The sequence below is a fragment of the Homo sapiens genome, chromosome 13, assembly GCF_000001405.40.
Source record: "Homo sapiens chromosome 13, GRCh38.p14 Primary Assembly".
In the NCBI taxonomy this organism is placed as follows: Eukaryota; Metazoa; Chordata; class Mammalia; order Primates; family Hominidae; genus Homo; species Homo sapiens.
The window spans coordinates 28,323,591-28,338,946 of NC_000013.11; the positions used below are offsets into that span (position 1 = coordinate 28,323,591).

General features: G+C 44.6%; 1 protein-coding gene across 1 annotated transcript in view, besides 1 other annotated feature; it reads right to left on the reverse strand.

Annotated features, from left to right (window-relative positions):
- The window catches only part of FLT1 (fms related receptor tyrosine kinase 1), a 194,783-nt gene that overhangs the window by 23,245 nt on the left and 156,182 nt on the right, over window positions 1-15,356 (reverse strand). Inside the window, exons 18-20 of the mRNA NM_002019.4 lie at window positions 10,435-10,539; window positions 6,025-6,138; window positions 3,872-3,960 (exon numbers count right to left, since the gene is read on the reverse strand). Coding sequence (NP_002010.2) covers window positions 3,872-3,960; window positions 6,025-6,138; window positions 10,435-10,539 — 308 coding nt within the window. The remainder of the gene's footprint in view (window positions 1-3,871; window positions 3,961-6,024; window positions 6,139-10,434; window positions 10,540-15,356) is intronic.
- Window positions 4,503-5,003: an enhancer, noted in NCBI's record as "H3K4me1 hESC enhancer chr13:28902230-28902730 (GRCh37/hg19 assembly coordinates)". NCBI's record gives its function as "activates a minimal SCP1, AML or CMV promoter by ChIP-STARR-seq in primed H9 embryonic stem cells {active_cell/tissue: H9 hESC(primed)}" and the evidence as "EXISTENCE:reporter gene assay evidence [ECO:0000049][PMID:30033119]".

Below are 15,356 nucleotides of genomic sequence, written 5' to 3' on the forward strand. Positions count from 1 at the left end.
CAGTGAGCCGAGATCACGCCATTGCACTCTAGCCTGGCCAACGAGAGCAAAACTCCATCTCAAAAAAAAAAAAAAAAGCAAAGCTTGAACCCAGGATTGGTCGATGCCCACATCTGTGCCCTTAACCACTTTTCCATGCCACACGCCATCTTGTGAAGGATGACATCACTGAGAGGAAAGGATCCTCAGTGTGCTTGGTGCTTCACTCTGTAATCCCTAGGAGGAGTTATAAGAGAAGGCTATAGTTACCAATTTCTCAGGTTTCTTTGGGGAAGGAGGGAACATGGACATTGCTTTTTTTCTCTTCCATTTAAACAAAGATACAGTTTGATCCTAACAAGGGTAGCAATGGCCTTTCACCCTGGACTGCACATCCAAGCCCTGGTTCATTTGGCTCTTCCATTAATCATGCGATCTTGGGCAAGTCACCTTACTTTTCTGAGTTTAATTATCCTCTTCTGAAAAGCTCTATTATACTATTATTTTATGATTCATAGGAAAGGAGTTGTCAGTTCTGGGTGTTCATGGGAAACCAGAAAAGATTTTTATTGCCTTTTGTAATTCATCTAGTAACTATGACACTCTAAAACCTAGCACTTTCAGTGGCTTTATAACAAGACCATGTTTGTAGCCTAGATTCTGCTAGACAGCAATACTGAGGCAGAAGCAGAGAGGGACTGGAGTTCAGTGGTGTCCCTTGATCCATTTGCATGGTGTGGCAGTTCTAGGATTAACCCGCGTACCCCATCCTTCCTGGGCTTTTCTAGAAATGTCACAAAGCAAGAGTGATCCCTCCACTAGAGGGCACAGTGGGAGCAAGCAGAGCACTGGGAGAAAGCTTCAGGAGGGACAGCCCTAACCTAGTCTAAAAGCCAAAAGGGCACCAAGGTTCCCAGCCCCTGAAAAGAGACCTTCCGGGGTTGCAGAGGGAGGCAGGCCTCAGAGTGAATACCCACTGCCATTGCAGGTAACCCACCTGAGGGCAGGTAAAGACTTTCACTATTTGTTATTGTGTTTCCACAATGCAGTTATATTGGATTCTGTTCAGTTGGGGACTGGAATTTTATTTTTCACAAGATCCTTTGTGGGACAGAAGGCATCAGAGAAAGCGCTGGCAATAGCATGGGGAGAAAAATGCTCCACAGGCTCACTCAGGGCTCTGCATGTGAAAACTCTCCCTGGACAGCCTTCTTCCCCACGGCACCCAAAAGTCACAGCCTAGGCATGTCTCCAAGGACCAAAACTCAGGCTCTCTCACTCCCTTCCTGACTCCCAATCAATTGTATATTCAGCTTTGCTTATCAGTACCACTTTTGTTAAATAAAGGTAATTTACTGAACTCTTGGGACTCTGGCAGAATATAGTGAATTTATTACAAACCATATTTAAGGATCCCAGTTAATTTATTTGGAAAATGAAGTATTCCATTTTCAATTTAGCCTTTTGGTTTTGCCTTTCCTTTACCTTTATCTTCCAAATATGAAAGACAGCCATGGATTTTCCACAAAAACACTAAGCTCCACCAAGTTGCACAGGGAGGCAAATCATTAAATATAGCCAGAGAAGGAAGCAAACTCTTCAAAACAAAGGACGCACAAACCCAAACGTTCCATCCTGCCCAGGTCCCTAGGGTATTCTGCTGGCTTAGCTCTTCCTGAAGCCAGTCCAAAATTTCAGTACTAAGGGGAATTTGTACTGCCCTCAGCCCAAGGCACCACTTTCCACTTTTTCTTATGCTTTTTTCACCTCATTTAGTGTGGTGCACAGAAAAGGCAGTGGAGGAGGAGTCAAGAGAGCTGAGTTCTTTCACCTTCTGACTTCACCTCATGGTAGGTGTGTGTCCTTAAGCGAATCACTTGACTTCTCTGAACGCATCTGCAGCCTGCGAGTGTGAACCAACTGATCACAAAGATCCCTTTCAGTTTCAAGATTCTAATTATTAGGCCGGGCACGGTGGCTCACACCTGTAATCCCAGCACTTTGTGAGGCCGAGGCAGGCGGATCACCTGAGGTCAGGAGTTTGACCAGCCTGGCCAACATGGTGAAACTCCGTCTCTACCAAAATATTCAAAAATTAGCTGGGCGTTGTGGCGGGCTCCTGTAATCCCAGCTACTTGGGAGGGTAGAGGCAGGAGGATCACTTGAACCCAGGAAACGGAGGTTGCAGTGAGCTGAGATCACACCACTGCACTCCAGCCTGACTGACAGAGAGAGAAACTCTGTCTCAAAAAAAAAAAAAAAAAAAAAAGGTTCTTATTATTAGAGGACCTGACTTAAACCTGGGGAAAATGATGTTCTTGCATATATTGCCGGTCCGGTAGAACATCTCTGTCTTTAATTAGATCAAAGTTTGAGGGATGAGAAAATTGGCCAGCTGTCCAGTGGTTCTTATTTGTGTGTGAAGATTCTTGCCCACATTATAAAGATGGGCATCATTCTTGGATTTCAGACATTTTATCCACCATGTAGATCAGTGGTACGAAGTTGGACTCACCCAATTTTTCTATCTTAGTAGGTCAATGATGTTGATGATGATGATGACAGTGGTGGTGACAGTGATGATTAACATTTATTGAATGTTTGACTGAGAGATTTTTATTCTCTCAACAATCCCATCAGCTGGATTCTATTATAAGCTTCATTTAATAAACGAGGGAACTGAAACAGACAGGTTGAGTAATTTGCATTCCCAGATTTCATGAGAAGTAGAGACAGGATTTGAATCCAGGAAGTCTGATTCCAGAGTCTCAATGTTTAACCACCACACTACATGGGTTCATCACCAGTGTTGCTGATTACTGGTTAATAATGTTGAATCACTGTCCCCTGGACTTCTTCAGCTCAGAGAAGGACACAGTATTGGTGCCATATGTCACACTGGCAAAGTTTTAGTAAATTATTTCTCCTCCATTCAATAATCTCTCTCTCTCTTTTTTTTTTTTTTTTTTTTTTTGAGACGGAGTCTCACTCTGTTGCCCAGGCTGGAGTGTAGTGGCTTGATCTCGGCTCACTGCAACCTCAGCCTCCCAGGCTCAAGCGATTCTCCTGCCTCAGCCTCCCTAGTAGCTGGGATTACAGGCGCGGGCCACCACGCCTGGCTAATTTTTGTATTTTTAGTAGAGACGGGTTTTCACCATGCTGGCCAGGCTGGTTTCGAACTCCTGACCTCACAAGATCCACCTGCCTCAGCCCCCAAAGTTCTGGGATTACAGGCGTAAGCCACCGTGCCTGGCCCAATAATCTCTTTTAAACCTTGTTTGCCCTTAGGTCTTGGGTCCACATGTTCCTTTTACTACACAGCTTTTATTTAATAAGGCTGGTTCAGAGTATATGTAGGGATGACATGGGTAGTGAGGGTGTCAGGAAGTAGGGGAAAGGGCAGTGGAAAAGAAAGATAATGATTTTTGGCCCTGGCCACATCATTGGTCTACTGCTGATTGTCAAGTCACTCAGTTGATTTAGCCTTAGTCAAAATCTAACCTAATAAATGGAGACAATTATATTAACTATTATCTTCCTTAAAGAAATAAGTGACTTGTGTATGTATGTTTGCGTGTATGTACACATGCACACATATATAGGGGGAGAAAGAGAGAAAGTTATTGTTAGATATTTAGATAAGTGGCTAGTAGATTTACTCTCCAATTATGGCTGCATACGCACACAGGGATCAAATGATTCTCTGTGCTATCCACACTAGAGTGTAACAGATTATCAGGGGAAAAAACATGAAAAAAGGAGAAGAAGCAGAGATTGAGTTTTAAGTTTAATCATTAACAACACAATACAGGTTTCTCTTGCTTTATGTTGTTACAGACTAAATGAAAACTCATTGCTATCTTTAAAAACCTCCAACTTTTGAAATCCTTACCTTGTTGAGAAAAAATAAGTCACGTTTGCTCTTGAGGTAGTTGGAGAGATTTCCATATTTGCAGTATTCAACAATCACCATCAGAGGCCCTGCAGCCAAAACAGCACATGCTCATGCTCAGCCACACCAAGCCAGTCAGCCATTTGCCAGCCTTCAGCCTGCCTGAGAAACCTCAAACCAACCAGCCTTTGTATTAGTGGGGCGAAGGGATGCGATTTAGGGATGAGAGGCCCATGAATACGGTGACTTTTTCAGTTTAACCTAAGAAGGGGTTTAAAGAATACAATTGAAATACAAAAAAAAAAAAAAAAAAAAGGAGGTGAGGGGCAGTGCAGAAGCATTAGAGAGAAAAGATTGGAAGAAGGACAGAAATACGTTTGAGGAGGGGAGAGGCAAAAGCCAGCCTCCCTGCCTCTTAACCAGACCCTTGCGAGTAGAGCGGCTTCTGGTTACTGTCACACCAGTCCTGGAACTATTAAGCAGCTCCTCCCTCCCTACCACGACAGAGACGGCTACCTGGCCGTCTCTCGCCAGCAGTGTCTGCGCGATTTGCCTTGGGGCTTGCCAGAGGATCTACAGTAGGAATCGGCAAACTCTTCTTGTAAAGGTCCAGCTAGTAAGCATTTTAGGCTTTGCAGATCAAGGAGCTACTACTCAATTCTGCCTTTGTAGCCTGGAAACAACCAAACAAGTATGACTGTGCTCCAAGAAAACTATGAACACAGAGATTGGAATTTCATACAATTTCATATCATGAAATATTATTTTTATTTTTTATTTTTTCCCCCAACTTTAAAAAGGTCAAACCATTTTAAGCTCACAGGCTGACCTTGGTTTGCCAACCCGACCCCGGTCTGAAGGAAGCAAGAGGGTTGGGAAGGAAGTCCAGCTGCACTCTGAAGGCCTCCTCTCTCCTGCCCTGCGTTTCCACTGCATGCCTGGGCTGGGCATGCAGCCCACAAAGCAAGGACCACTTCTGGGTCAAAGGGGAGTGACCCCGGAGCTGCTTCACCAGCCGCTGCCCAGGGCATGCCGGGAGCCCAGAAGCCACTAGTTCTTTTTTGTGCCTTGCAGAAGTTGGGCTGGTCCTGGTGGAGTGGTTTTCTCTTAGTACGAGGAACACGCTAGAAATCCTAACAGCATCTCATCTTCCCCCTAGGTTCCAGAACGGGAAGTTGCTTCCAGAGTTTTTTATGTCCCCTCTACGGCGGCAGATGCCGCAGAGTTCGGCTCCCGCATGGGGTCCAGCCACCGTCCTCAGAGGGGCTTCCATGCTGGCGCCCAGCTGCACGGAGCTGACGGCCGCACATGAGGGTAAGCTGTCTCATTATACCTGATCAGTTTTACAGATGCAAAGTTGAGGCAAACAGAATGAGGTTGCCACGACAGAGAACTTCATAAAACGTTATCCGGGGATGATGGAGAAGCAGGCGGGGCCGTGTCGAGGTCCCTCCGACTGTTTCTGGCCTCCCCAGCCTTTAGCTCCTCTCTAACCACCTCCGCCCCTAGCAGATTGTCTTCCCCAGCTACCCTTCATCTCTGCTACCTCTGTTGAGAGCTGGGGAAAACATTGGCTTGCACAGCTCTTTGCACCTTGCTGGCTCAAACAATGATCACACATCTACTCTGCCCTAACCCTGCCATACGGAAAGAAAGGTCTGCGACAACATGCTGGAGCTCTTAATCATAAAGCACAGCTCTGTCCCTACCCCCTTGGGTAAGGTCTATCTGCATGGTGGATCTGGAGGGAAGGGCCCCCACATCACCTCCTCCTGGGACCCTACCAGTAGTGATTCATTCATTCCTTTAGGTGAAGCCTCAAGGAATATGCAACCTTCTACCTTTTACCTTGGCTCTGGCCACACTCCTTCAGACCCATCCTGAGAGAAAAGTGCCCTCTGCTTAGCCTAGAGCCTGTGGAAGGAGATCAAAAAGGGAGTCCTCTTCAGAATCTTTAAATTAACGGCACAGGGAAGGGATTTATGGGAGCACCCTTCTGTAGATGCACAAGCTGTTTCTTCTAGAGCTATTAGGGAGGCCGTTTTCCTGGAGGCGAGGAAGCACAGTGCGGGGGAGAAGGAGCTGTAAGGCAGAGAACTGTTCTCCCAGCCTGTGCAGGGGGAGACGGAGCCGGCCCTCCCCTTCTCCATTACCTCCTTGCTTGGTGCAGGCTCCCAGCAGGTTAACCACGTTCAGATGGTGGCCAATGTGGGTCAAGATTTTTAGCTCAGTCATCAGAGCTTTGTACTCGCTGGCCGTGGCCCCCTCTGTGTGAGAAGCAAGGAAGAGTCAGGGCGACAGGACAATGGGGCTCCTTCCGCCGGAGGCGGCATTCTTGCCCTCCTTGTTTGTCAATGCTCAGCCGGTTGCTTCACTAACTTCCCCACATTCTGCAGAAAGGCCAAGTCTCCAGACTGTTTTCATTACTCCCACCCTCCTGAGCCAACATCCTTTTGATTACAGTAAGGCCCAGCACAGTAGTGGGGTTAGTCACTGGACATTTCCTCTTGGTGGACCTAGTTCTCTTCAGCAATGCGCTGACTCAGAGCTGGGCACCTCGTGAAAGTGCCTTCCAAAGGCTTCCCTTCTGTCAGAACCAGGTGCAGCAAGAACCCACCAGGCAGGGAGTACACCTCCACGTCCCCTCTTCTCACCTTCTCCCTTTGGGGAGTCACAGAGAAGGAGCACAAGGGGCCTGCCAGGGCAGAATGGCTACTGTTGTAAACATCTTTGCAATGTGTTATTTTCTCCCTGTAACCCTGTCCTCTCTGGAGTTCACAGGGTTATCTTGGGTTGTGAGGATCCATAGCATCTGACTTCAACTTCAGTCTCAGAGATAAGCATTATCAGTCCAAGAATTAGCAGAGTCTAAAGCCTAAATTGAGTTTGTTCTGTTTGTTCTTATTAGTTAATATGCAAGGCATTTAAAAATTTTAAATTATTTTTAGAAATATAAAAATCAAATAATCTTTCTGTAAAATATTTCAACAATATGAGTTGGAATAAAATGTTCTAGATAAAAAGCAAAAGCCACTCCGACCCACTTGCCTTCTTAGAAGCAGCCATGGTTAATAGTTTGGTGTTCAGACCTTTTTCTATGCATTTATAAATATTCAATCAGAGGTCCTATATATATATATATATATCATATATATATGATATATATGACTATATATAGTCTATTTAAAAAATCTATTTCCCCCCTTTTAATAAATCAGAGACTTTTTCTCTTCTTTTTATTTCTTTTTATTTTTTATTTTTATTTTTTTTGAGACAGAGTCTCCCTCTGTCGCCCAGGCTGGCGTGCATTGGTGCGATCTCGGCTCCCTGCAACCTCCACCTCCTGGGTTCAAGCGATTCTCATGCCTCAGCCTCCCGAGTAGCTGGGATTACAGGTGTGTGCCACAATGCTTGGCTAATTTTTGTATTTTTAGTAGAGACAGGGTTTCACCATGCTCCTGACTTGAGGTGATCCACCTGCCTTGGCCTCCCAAACTGCTGGGATTACAGGCGTGAGCCACCACACCCAGCAGGTTAACCACGTTAATGGTGGCCAGTGTGAGCCCATTCTTTTTAATTGATTAATGGTGTCCCTGACATTTAGAGTGTCTATAGTCTTTTTGCTATTACAAATAATACTGTGATAGTCTGTGTGTAATCTCTGTGCACACATGCAAGTGTTTCTGTAGGACAGTGTCCTGGAAGTGGGTTAGAGGTATGTGCATTTAACATTGTGGTAGATACCAACATGGTATTTCATAAGCACAAATCATTTTTAATAATAACTAGATAAACTCCAAATCCTGTGCATGGGGTTAGGGCTGGCTCACAGTAGATGCTCAACAAATATTTTGGAATAAATAAACACAATTACTCTTCTCATTTCAGGCATGGGTGTAAGGCCCAAAAAGATTAATATTTTTGCTCAAGGACACTTTGAAAGAGCTTTTGACTTATGGCCTTTGTTTCACTTTATGCTTTTGTTTTGAGACGGAGTCTCGCTCTGTCACCCAGGCTGGAGTGCAGTGGCGTGATCTTAGCTTACTGCAACCTCCAACTCCTGGGTTCAAGCGATTCTCCTGCCTCAGCCTCTCAAGTAGCTGGGACTACAGGTGCCCACCACCACGCCCGGCTAATTTTTGTATTTTTTATTAGAGATGGGATTTTGCCATATTGGCCAGGCCGGTCTCGAACGCCTGACCTCATGATCTGCCGGCCTCGGCCTCCCAAAGTGCTGGATTACAGGCATGAGCCATCACGCCGGGCCATGCCTTTTTTCTATCTCCCAGAATCAGATGGCCAATTAATTTAAGCAAGAAAGCTGAATGAAATTTTTTAAAGGAATTTTATAGAGTGGATGATTTGGCAGTCTTTTACAATCAATGCTGATGGCTAAAAAAAAAAAATAGGCATTTATGAAGACACTACACATGCAATCTGTATTACATAGAAGAGATTCTCTGAGCCTTTTAAAAAAATCTCAGCTGGGTGCAGTGGCTCACGCCTGTAATCCCAGCACTTTGGGAGGCTGAGACAGGAGGATTGCTTGAGCCCAGGAGTTTGAGACCAGCCTGGGCAAGATGGCGATACTGTCTCTACAAAAAAAAATTTTTTGAATTAGCTAGGTGTGATGGTGTGAGCCTCTAGTCCCAGCTATTTGAGAGGCTGAGGTGGAAGGACTGCTTGAGCCTGAGAGGCAGAGGCTGCAGTGAACTATGATCATGCTACTGCACTCCAGCCTGGGCGACAGAGTAAAACCCTGTCTCTTAGAAGAAAAAAAAATCTCAAGTCAGAATCTTCTTTCAAACTCATTCATCTCCCTATAACCCTTTCCTCTTTGGAGGAAAAAAACCAGGTGCTGGTTCAGCTTGCTGTATTTATAGGCAGGGCCACAGGTATTATCTTGGACCCACAACAGACTAGTGTGGATATCAGAGCTGCCTCTCCTAGAGGACAATGTGTGGCAGCAAGCAGAGAAACGGGACTAGCTGAGGAAACAGTTGCTTCCAGATTTAGTTTCCACCTATCTCTAGGTTGGATACTGGATTGCCTCCATAAACTAGGCCAGGATCATCTTCAGGGTTTTGGAGCAGTGTGCCAATTCCAGGAGGCCAGGTCTCTGCAGCCCCTCTTTTGTGGCACACTGGTATGGAGGAAAGAGCACTGCATTCAAAGCTGGAAGACTTTCGCACACAAACCCTTACTTACGCTGAGCAGCTGTGTGGCCTTGCAGAGGCTATTTAACCTTTCTTGGCCATGTTTCCTCATCTGCAAACTGAGGATAATAATGTCTACCTCACAAAGCTGTTGAGAGGAAATAAGAAAAATGGCTGTTTTGTGTGGTTCAGCCTAATAAGTGAAAGTATCTAGTCTGGTGCTTTCTTACATAGAAGACATGTTGATGCCTCTTCTCTTCAGAATCTGGGGTTCTTGCAGGGAGGGTGCTAGCATGCCTCTATTTTGACAGAAATACCTGCCTTCGTCTGGGAAGTCTACCCCAAACAAAAGTTCTGACTTGTGGATACCAAACTCCTTCCCAGACTACTTTCAGAGCAGAATTGGCAGGTTCTTTGCAGAGTTTTATTAGTTTTTTCTTGAGGAGTAAACCTTTTGAAGTTGAAAATATATTTACATGGGGCTTTTGAAATAATGGAGTTATTGCTAGAAGATTAAGAACTTTGACGTCTCCCTAAGCAAACAACCCTTTCTCCTGGAGCCTGTACTAGGTACCCGTGTAGTTGGACTCACAGCTTGCTGGGCTTCAAAATTTCCCAGCAGTATCCTGGAGACTTTGGAAAGTTAAAAGCTGCTTTTTGAGTTTTCAGTTCTGTTGAGTTGAAGCATCATAAAATTCCATTACAGATGAGGAAATGAAGTATTTTCTACACTGTAAAGGACCTGTGAGTCTTTGAGACATGTGGTTTACACAGCTTTCACTGATTTTCATTTTCAATCTGTCTTTGGTGTTGGGCATAAGTCACTGTGTGATTTGGTTCTACCTCCCAGTGCTTCACAGAGTAGTAGTATCTTTCAACACTAGAAAGATAATTCAGGTTTTTAAACTGCTAAAGAGGAAATGTTTTATGGCTGAGGTAGTTAGTATAAAATAGTTTAGAGTTCTGATCAACTCAATTGTTCTAGCTTTATAGTTTTACTTTATAGTCAGGTCAAGCCCAAGCAAAGCCATTGGGATTTAGAATGTGCTGCTAAGTTTCCATTACAACATCACAGTAGATCATGCCAAAATCTGAACCTGCAGTTACAATGGGCTTAAGTCCCTTGTTGTCTACAGTCTGTGATGTGAGATGAGAAAGACCTTTGAGGTGACAGAGATCATTTTCCTATGGACAGTGCTGGATTGTTCCATTTACAAGGTTTCTTCTGAGCTCGTGCTGGCCTAATCTAAAACTCGTGAGCAAAGAGGCCTCTAGCAGTAGAAGAAAATTATGTGTCCAGAGCAGAAAAGCTTGTGTCTGTTCCCAGGCTATATCTAACTTGTACCAACATTTAGGAAATGCAAAATGGTGATGGGTCAGTTGAAAGCCAAACTACAGCATACATACCTTTCAGCATTTTCACAGCCACAGTCCGGCACGTAGGTGATTTCTTAATGCCAAATGCTGATGCTTGAACCACTTTTCCAAAAGCCCCTCTTCCAAGTGATTTGCCTGTAATGAAGAGAAGACACTGGTTTGTTTGCCGAGGCAATAGGGTGAGTTTAAGTCTTTTTCAGGAAGGAAATGCCTTTTCCTATGTGTGCATGTGAGGCATGGAATCTCCAGTGAACTAACCCTAAAAGAGACAAAGTAAGGGACTTATTTCTGGAGTCTCTTCCTTTCAACTCTTAACTCTGTTCCTGAGGCCCCACATCCTTCAAAGATAGAGTAAGTCCCTAGAAGGCATTCAGTGAAGGTAGATGTCCAGTTTCCTTTCCACAGCGTTCTCCCGTAGGAGAGATGGGACCAAGTCCCGTGTAGTTTCTTCCATTGTTTAATAACATTATGACCAAGAAGACTTCCCTGTGTGGAACCTAAGCTCTTTTTCTTTTTCCATTTACAGTCATTTTTCTCTCATCTGTTTTCAGCAAAAAGGGAGAAATAGAAAATGGTGGTTACTACTGTGGATTATAATAATGCTCATAACTTTAAAATAATCACTAAGTCATTTATCCGACTTCCCTACCAGGCAAAATATTTCCAGTCTTTCTAATGTGTCTTAGGTGAAGATTACAAATCCTCGTGGTTCAGCACAGGAGCCTGGTCAACCACTGGTAGTGATTTGTTTCAACCCCAGAGAGGTAGTTGCTAAATGCAATAACTAAGCAAGGTTCCTTTCATGGTCCCCATAATGCTATGCTATAATGACTGTTAATATGTTTCTTTCCCTATCCTAGAATGACCCAGGGAGTCCTTGCCCCCCTTTACTCTGGGGGGCAAGGACCATGTCTGAATCTTCCCAGAACCTAACTTGGTGCCTGGTGCTATCTGTTATTACTGAATATTGCTGCAGAATGGAGAGTGGTGTTCAGGAATGTGTGGGTTGCCCAAAGCAAGTCTCCTAGTCATAGGTAACTAGAGGGGCCCATGGGATGGAGACCCTGAGATTGATGCCCTTTAGGGAGGGCACTCCCTGGAGTACCTAAGCTGCCTTTTATATCAGGGAACCTCCTTTTGCACATCAGGAAACAGCTCAATAGAACCCAGAGAAATGGTGCACCTCCAGCATGATATACCCAAAGAAGAGTAAGTGAAGTAAGTCAGTCTTTTTTTGGCTTTTCTTGGGGGAAGGGGAAATGACAGAATACCACTGGTTGGTTAAAACTATTATAAATCCTGGCAGTTAGAGTGTTAATTTAACACAACCCCTCCTTTCCCAACCAAGTGCTCTTTCTTAGACCCGTCTGATAATGTGCCTTCAGTTAATGAACCTTCTTTCCTCCCTTCCTTCCTCATTACTCCACTCCCTTTCCCCAAAGGGCATTTTTAAAAAATTTTCTTGTAGTTTGTAATGAAGCTTTGCTTCTTCCTCATCATATTAGAACCTTTCTACTTTTATGCCCAACTACTCAGTGACAAAAATGTCTTTACCTTGCTCTGCTTAATGTCTTCTACTACCCACCACCCCAGGTGTCCAGTTAGGATGTATGAAAATTTCACTTATACCAGTGTCATCATTAGGGCCTCTGTGTGGCTGTCTGCAGGGACATGCTCTGCATTCAGAGAGAACACTGGGGAGACGACACGTTTCTCTTTTTGTGAAACATGCTCCCGTAGTGATTACTAAATGACATTCCTCCCAGAGCATGCAACACGGGCAGAGCTACAGCCTCTGCTTCCTTCTTCGCATAAAATTGTTGAAGAAATAGACCAGGATGGGGACCCTCGATTTGAAATAAAAGAGCCTCCAGTGGATCCTGAAAGTGCTACATCTGAAAATCCGGTGTGGGAACAGCGCTGGCAGATGCCTTCTCTATACTAGTAAAAACTGGTGCATTTTGGTTGGAGGTTTATTCCTTGCTTTATTTGGGATAAAGTATCAATGTTTTTCTTCCACAATGCCTTCCACCATCTAAAAAGAAAAGTGTCCTGAGCCTGAGAAATATCCAGATCTTTTCTCCTTACACACCTAAGACCCTTGCATGTTTGGGGCAGGTGGCATCCTTTGCACTTTCCATAGTTTCAGCCCCCACATCCCGTCTTAGCCGTCACAACACACTTTGTTTTAACAAGTGTTTGGGACTTTGCTTCTTATCATTGAGAATAAACTGGCTCTCATTTGGCTTCCCTCAGCCTTTTCATTTATTCTCTTGGAAGCTGACTGCTGCCTCATAAAACAGCATGAAGCTGTTATGGGCTCCTTAATCATCTGATGTGTTGGAATCCTTCTGCAGACCCATGGTTCCAGTTTCAGGGGAGCCCAGTTGCATCAGACTTGACCTCACCTGATCTTTCTTTTCCCTTAAAATTCTCCTCAGTGTTTCCTGGAATGCCACTAACTAGCTCGGAAGTGTGCTAGGTCATTGCCATACAATGCAAGGATATTGGAATCTCCTCCAAGAATGTCCTGGACTGGCCAGGGGCCCTGGACACGCTGGGGAGAGTGCATGGCAGCATGGGTTGGGCCGTCTCTGGCATTCAGGGCTGGTCTTACAAGAGGCAGCACCAGCCCAGGCACCATTCACTTGCCAAACTCCTGACTCCCTGTATTGTTTGCTGTATTAGGTAATTCTGACTTTTGATTATTTTTCAATAGAAAGATGCAGTGTTGAACATTATTCTAACTTTTTTTTTTTTTTTTTTTTTTGGAGACGGAGTCTCACTCTGTTGCCCAGGCCGGAGTGCCGTGGCGTGATCTTGGCTCACGGCAACCTCCACCTCCTGGGTTCAAATGATTCTCCTGGCTCAGCCTCCTGAGTAGCTGGGACTACAGGCACGCGCCACTACAGCTGGCTCATTTTTGTATTTTTAGTAGAGACAGGGTTTCGCCATGTTGGCCAGGCTGGTCTCGAACTCCTGACCTCAGGTGACCCACCCACCTCAGCCTCCCAAAGCACTGAGATTACAAGCGTGAGCCACCACACCCAGCCTATTCTAACTTCTATAATAAATATATAGGAGCTGAATTATCTCCTAACTTCTGTGATAAATTTATAGAAGCTGAATTCCCTCCCATGGGTTAGTGAGGAATCTTTTTTTTTTTTTTAAGATTCTTTTTGTTCTTGGATTTCAGGAATTTTAATGGTAGCAACACCTTTGACCCAACCTCCAACTGCATCCATCTATCAGGTACTATAAATTCCAATCCCACTCACTAGGGCTGCTGATAGTAACCAACAAGTAGATACAGCTGAAACCAGATATAACCTTGTGTATTTCTCTACATTTACAACCCCAGTATAACTGCCAGTTAAAACAGCCTTTTCTCTCTATCTGGACATAATCTGGGTTATTTTCAGTTGCTAGACATTACTTCAAATTACTTTGTCATTTATTTGGCTTAAGAAATAAACAAGTCTTGGGCCTCCTTGCTCCCACGTTAATCAATCAGAGGAGTGTACCTCGGGGCCTTGCAGCCACACTCTGTATTGAAAGACAAAGTTAGCAGACTTGACACACTTTCTCTCACCCATCAGAGACACTCAAATGGACATCAGCCAAATTCTAGCATGTGGCAACTCTGGAAAGGAAAAGAGTGATAAGAATGATCTTCAACAAGGAGACTCTCCTGAAATGGGATTATTTAAACCCACAGAGCCCCAGGGGAATTCTGGTAGAAGGATTAGCAATCTGTGATGTGGTGTGGATCACAATGATACTAGGAAGGAATGAAGCGATGGGACAGAAAGCTCATGTGTCCTATACTGGAAGAAGCATGTTTGATTATGACTAATAACTCTGGAAAGCAATGTGAGCTGAGAATGGCTCGTGATTGTGGGAAAATTATCCCATATTTCCTGCCAAGGTCACTGAGGGGTTGGGCTAGCTGCCATATAATTTAGACTTGCAGAAGGAACTCTTCCAGTGTGCCACCTGCCCTTAACTACTCTAAATGTAGTTGATTTTTTCCTCCTGTCCACAGCCATTGCTGGCTTTCTCCTGTCTCTCCAGCTTTTAACTGATTTCCAAGTTTCCTCCCCAAGCCAAATAGAACATGCTCCTGAGGCCAGTCCTTCCTCAGTGTAAGCAGAATCATTTCAAGGCCCAAGAGAAAAACAAAAGCCATTTTCCTCTCTCTGCCCCCTAAATCCCTCACCCCAGTATCATTTGCATGTAAGGAGAGGGACGATACTGTTGAATTTGGAACAACAGGCTCTCCACACCGAGAGGGACAAGCTCCAAGAACACTGGATCCACAATCTGTTTTCTTAGTTCCAACTACTAATGACTCTGGCATACACAGGAGTGAGTGGAAAACTTTCAGAAGCCACAATCCAAACATTTTGGGTAGGAGTAATTGAGGTTCCAATTGTTTTGTAGCACCAGAGGCTGGAGATTAATGGGCTTTGTGACGTCTGAGCTGGAGGAACTGGAAGGTAGGCTGCGGGAAAGCACATTTGCCTGCTGTTTATAGCATCTGCCCTACCTGGAAAACAACAGTCTTTGCTTTTCAAAAGTGAAACTTAAATGATTCCCCTAGGGCTTTCTACTCGGTCTGGACATTCCCAGGAAAATCAAAGTATGTAATTTGTGGATTTGTGCAGAGGGTTTTTTTGATCCATGGCCTTGAAGAGCACCAACTCTTTCACCGAATGTTTGATTTCACTGTTCCTTGCCACCCTCAATTATGTTCTGGATCACATATTTCTAATCCCTCAACAGTTTCATTATGTAAGCGTGCGTGTACTTGTAATGCCTCTCTCTCCGCCGCCCTTCACTTACCACTTTTGCACCTATCTCCAGACTGAGCCCTTTGAGGGAAGAGATGCAAGCACCTTTGTGTCTCCAGGGCTTAGACCAGTGTCTGCTGCTCAGAGAAGGTGCCTAAT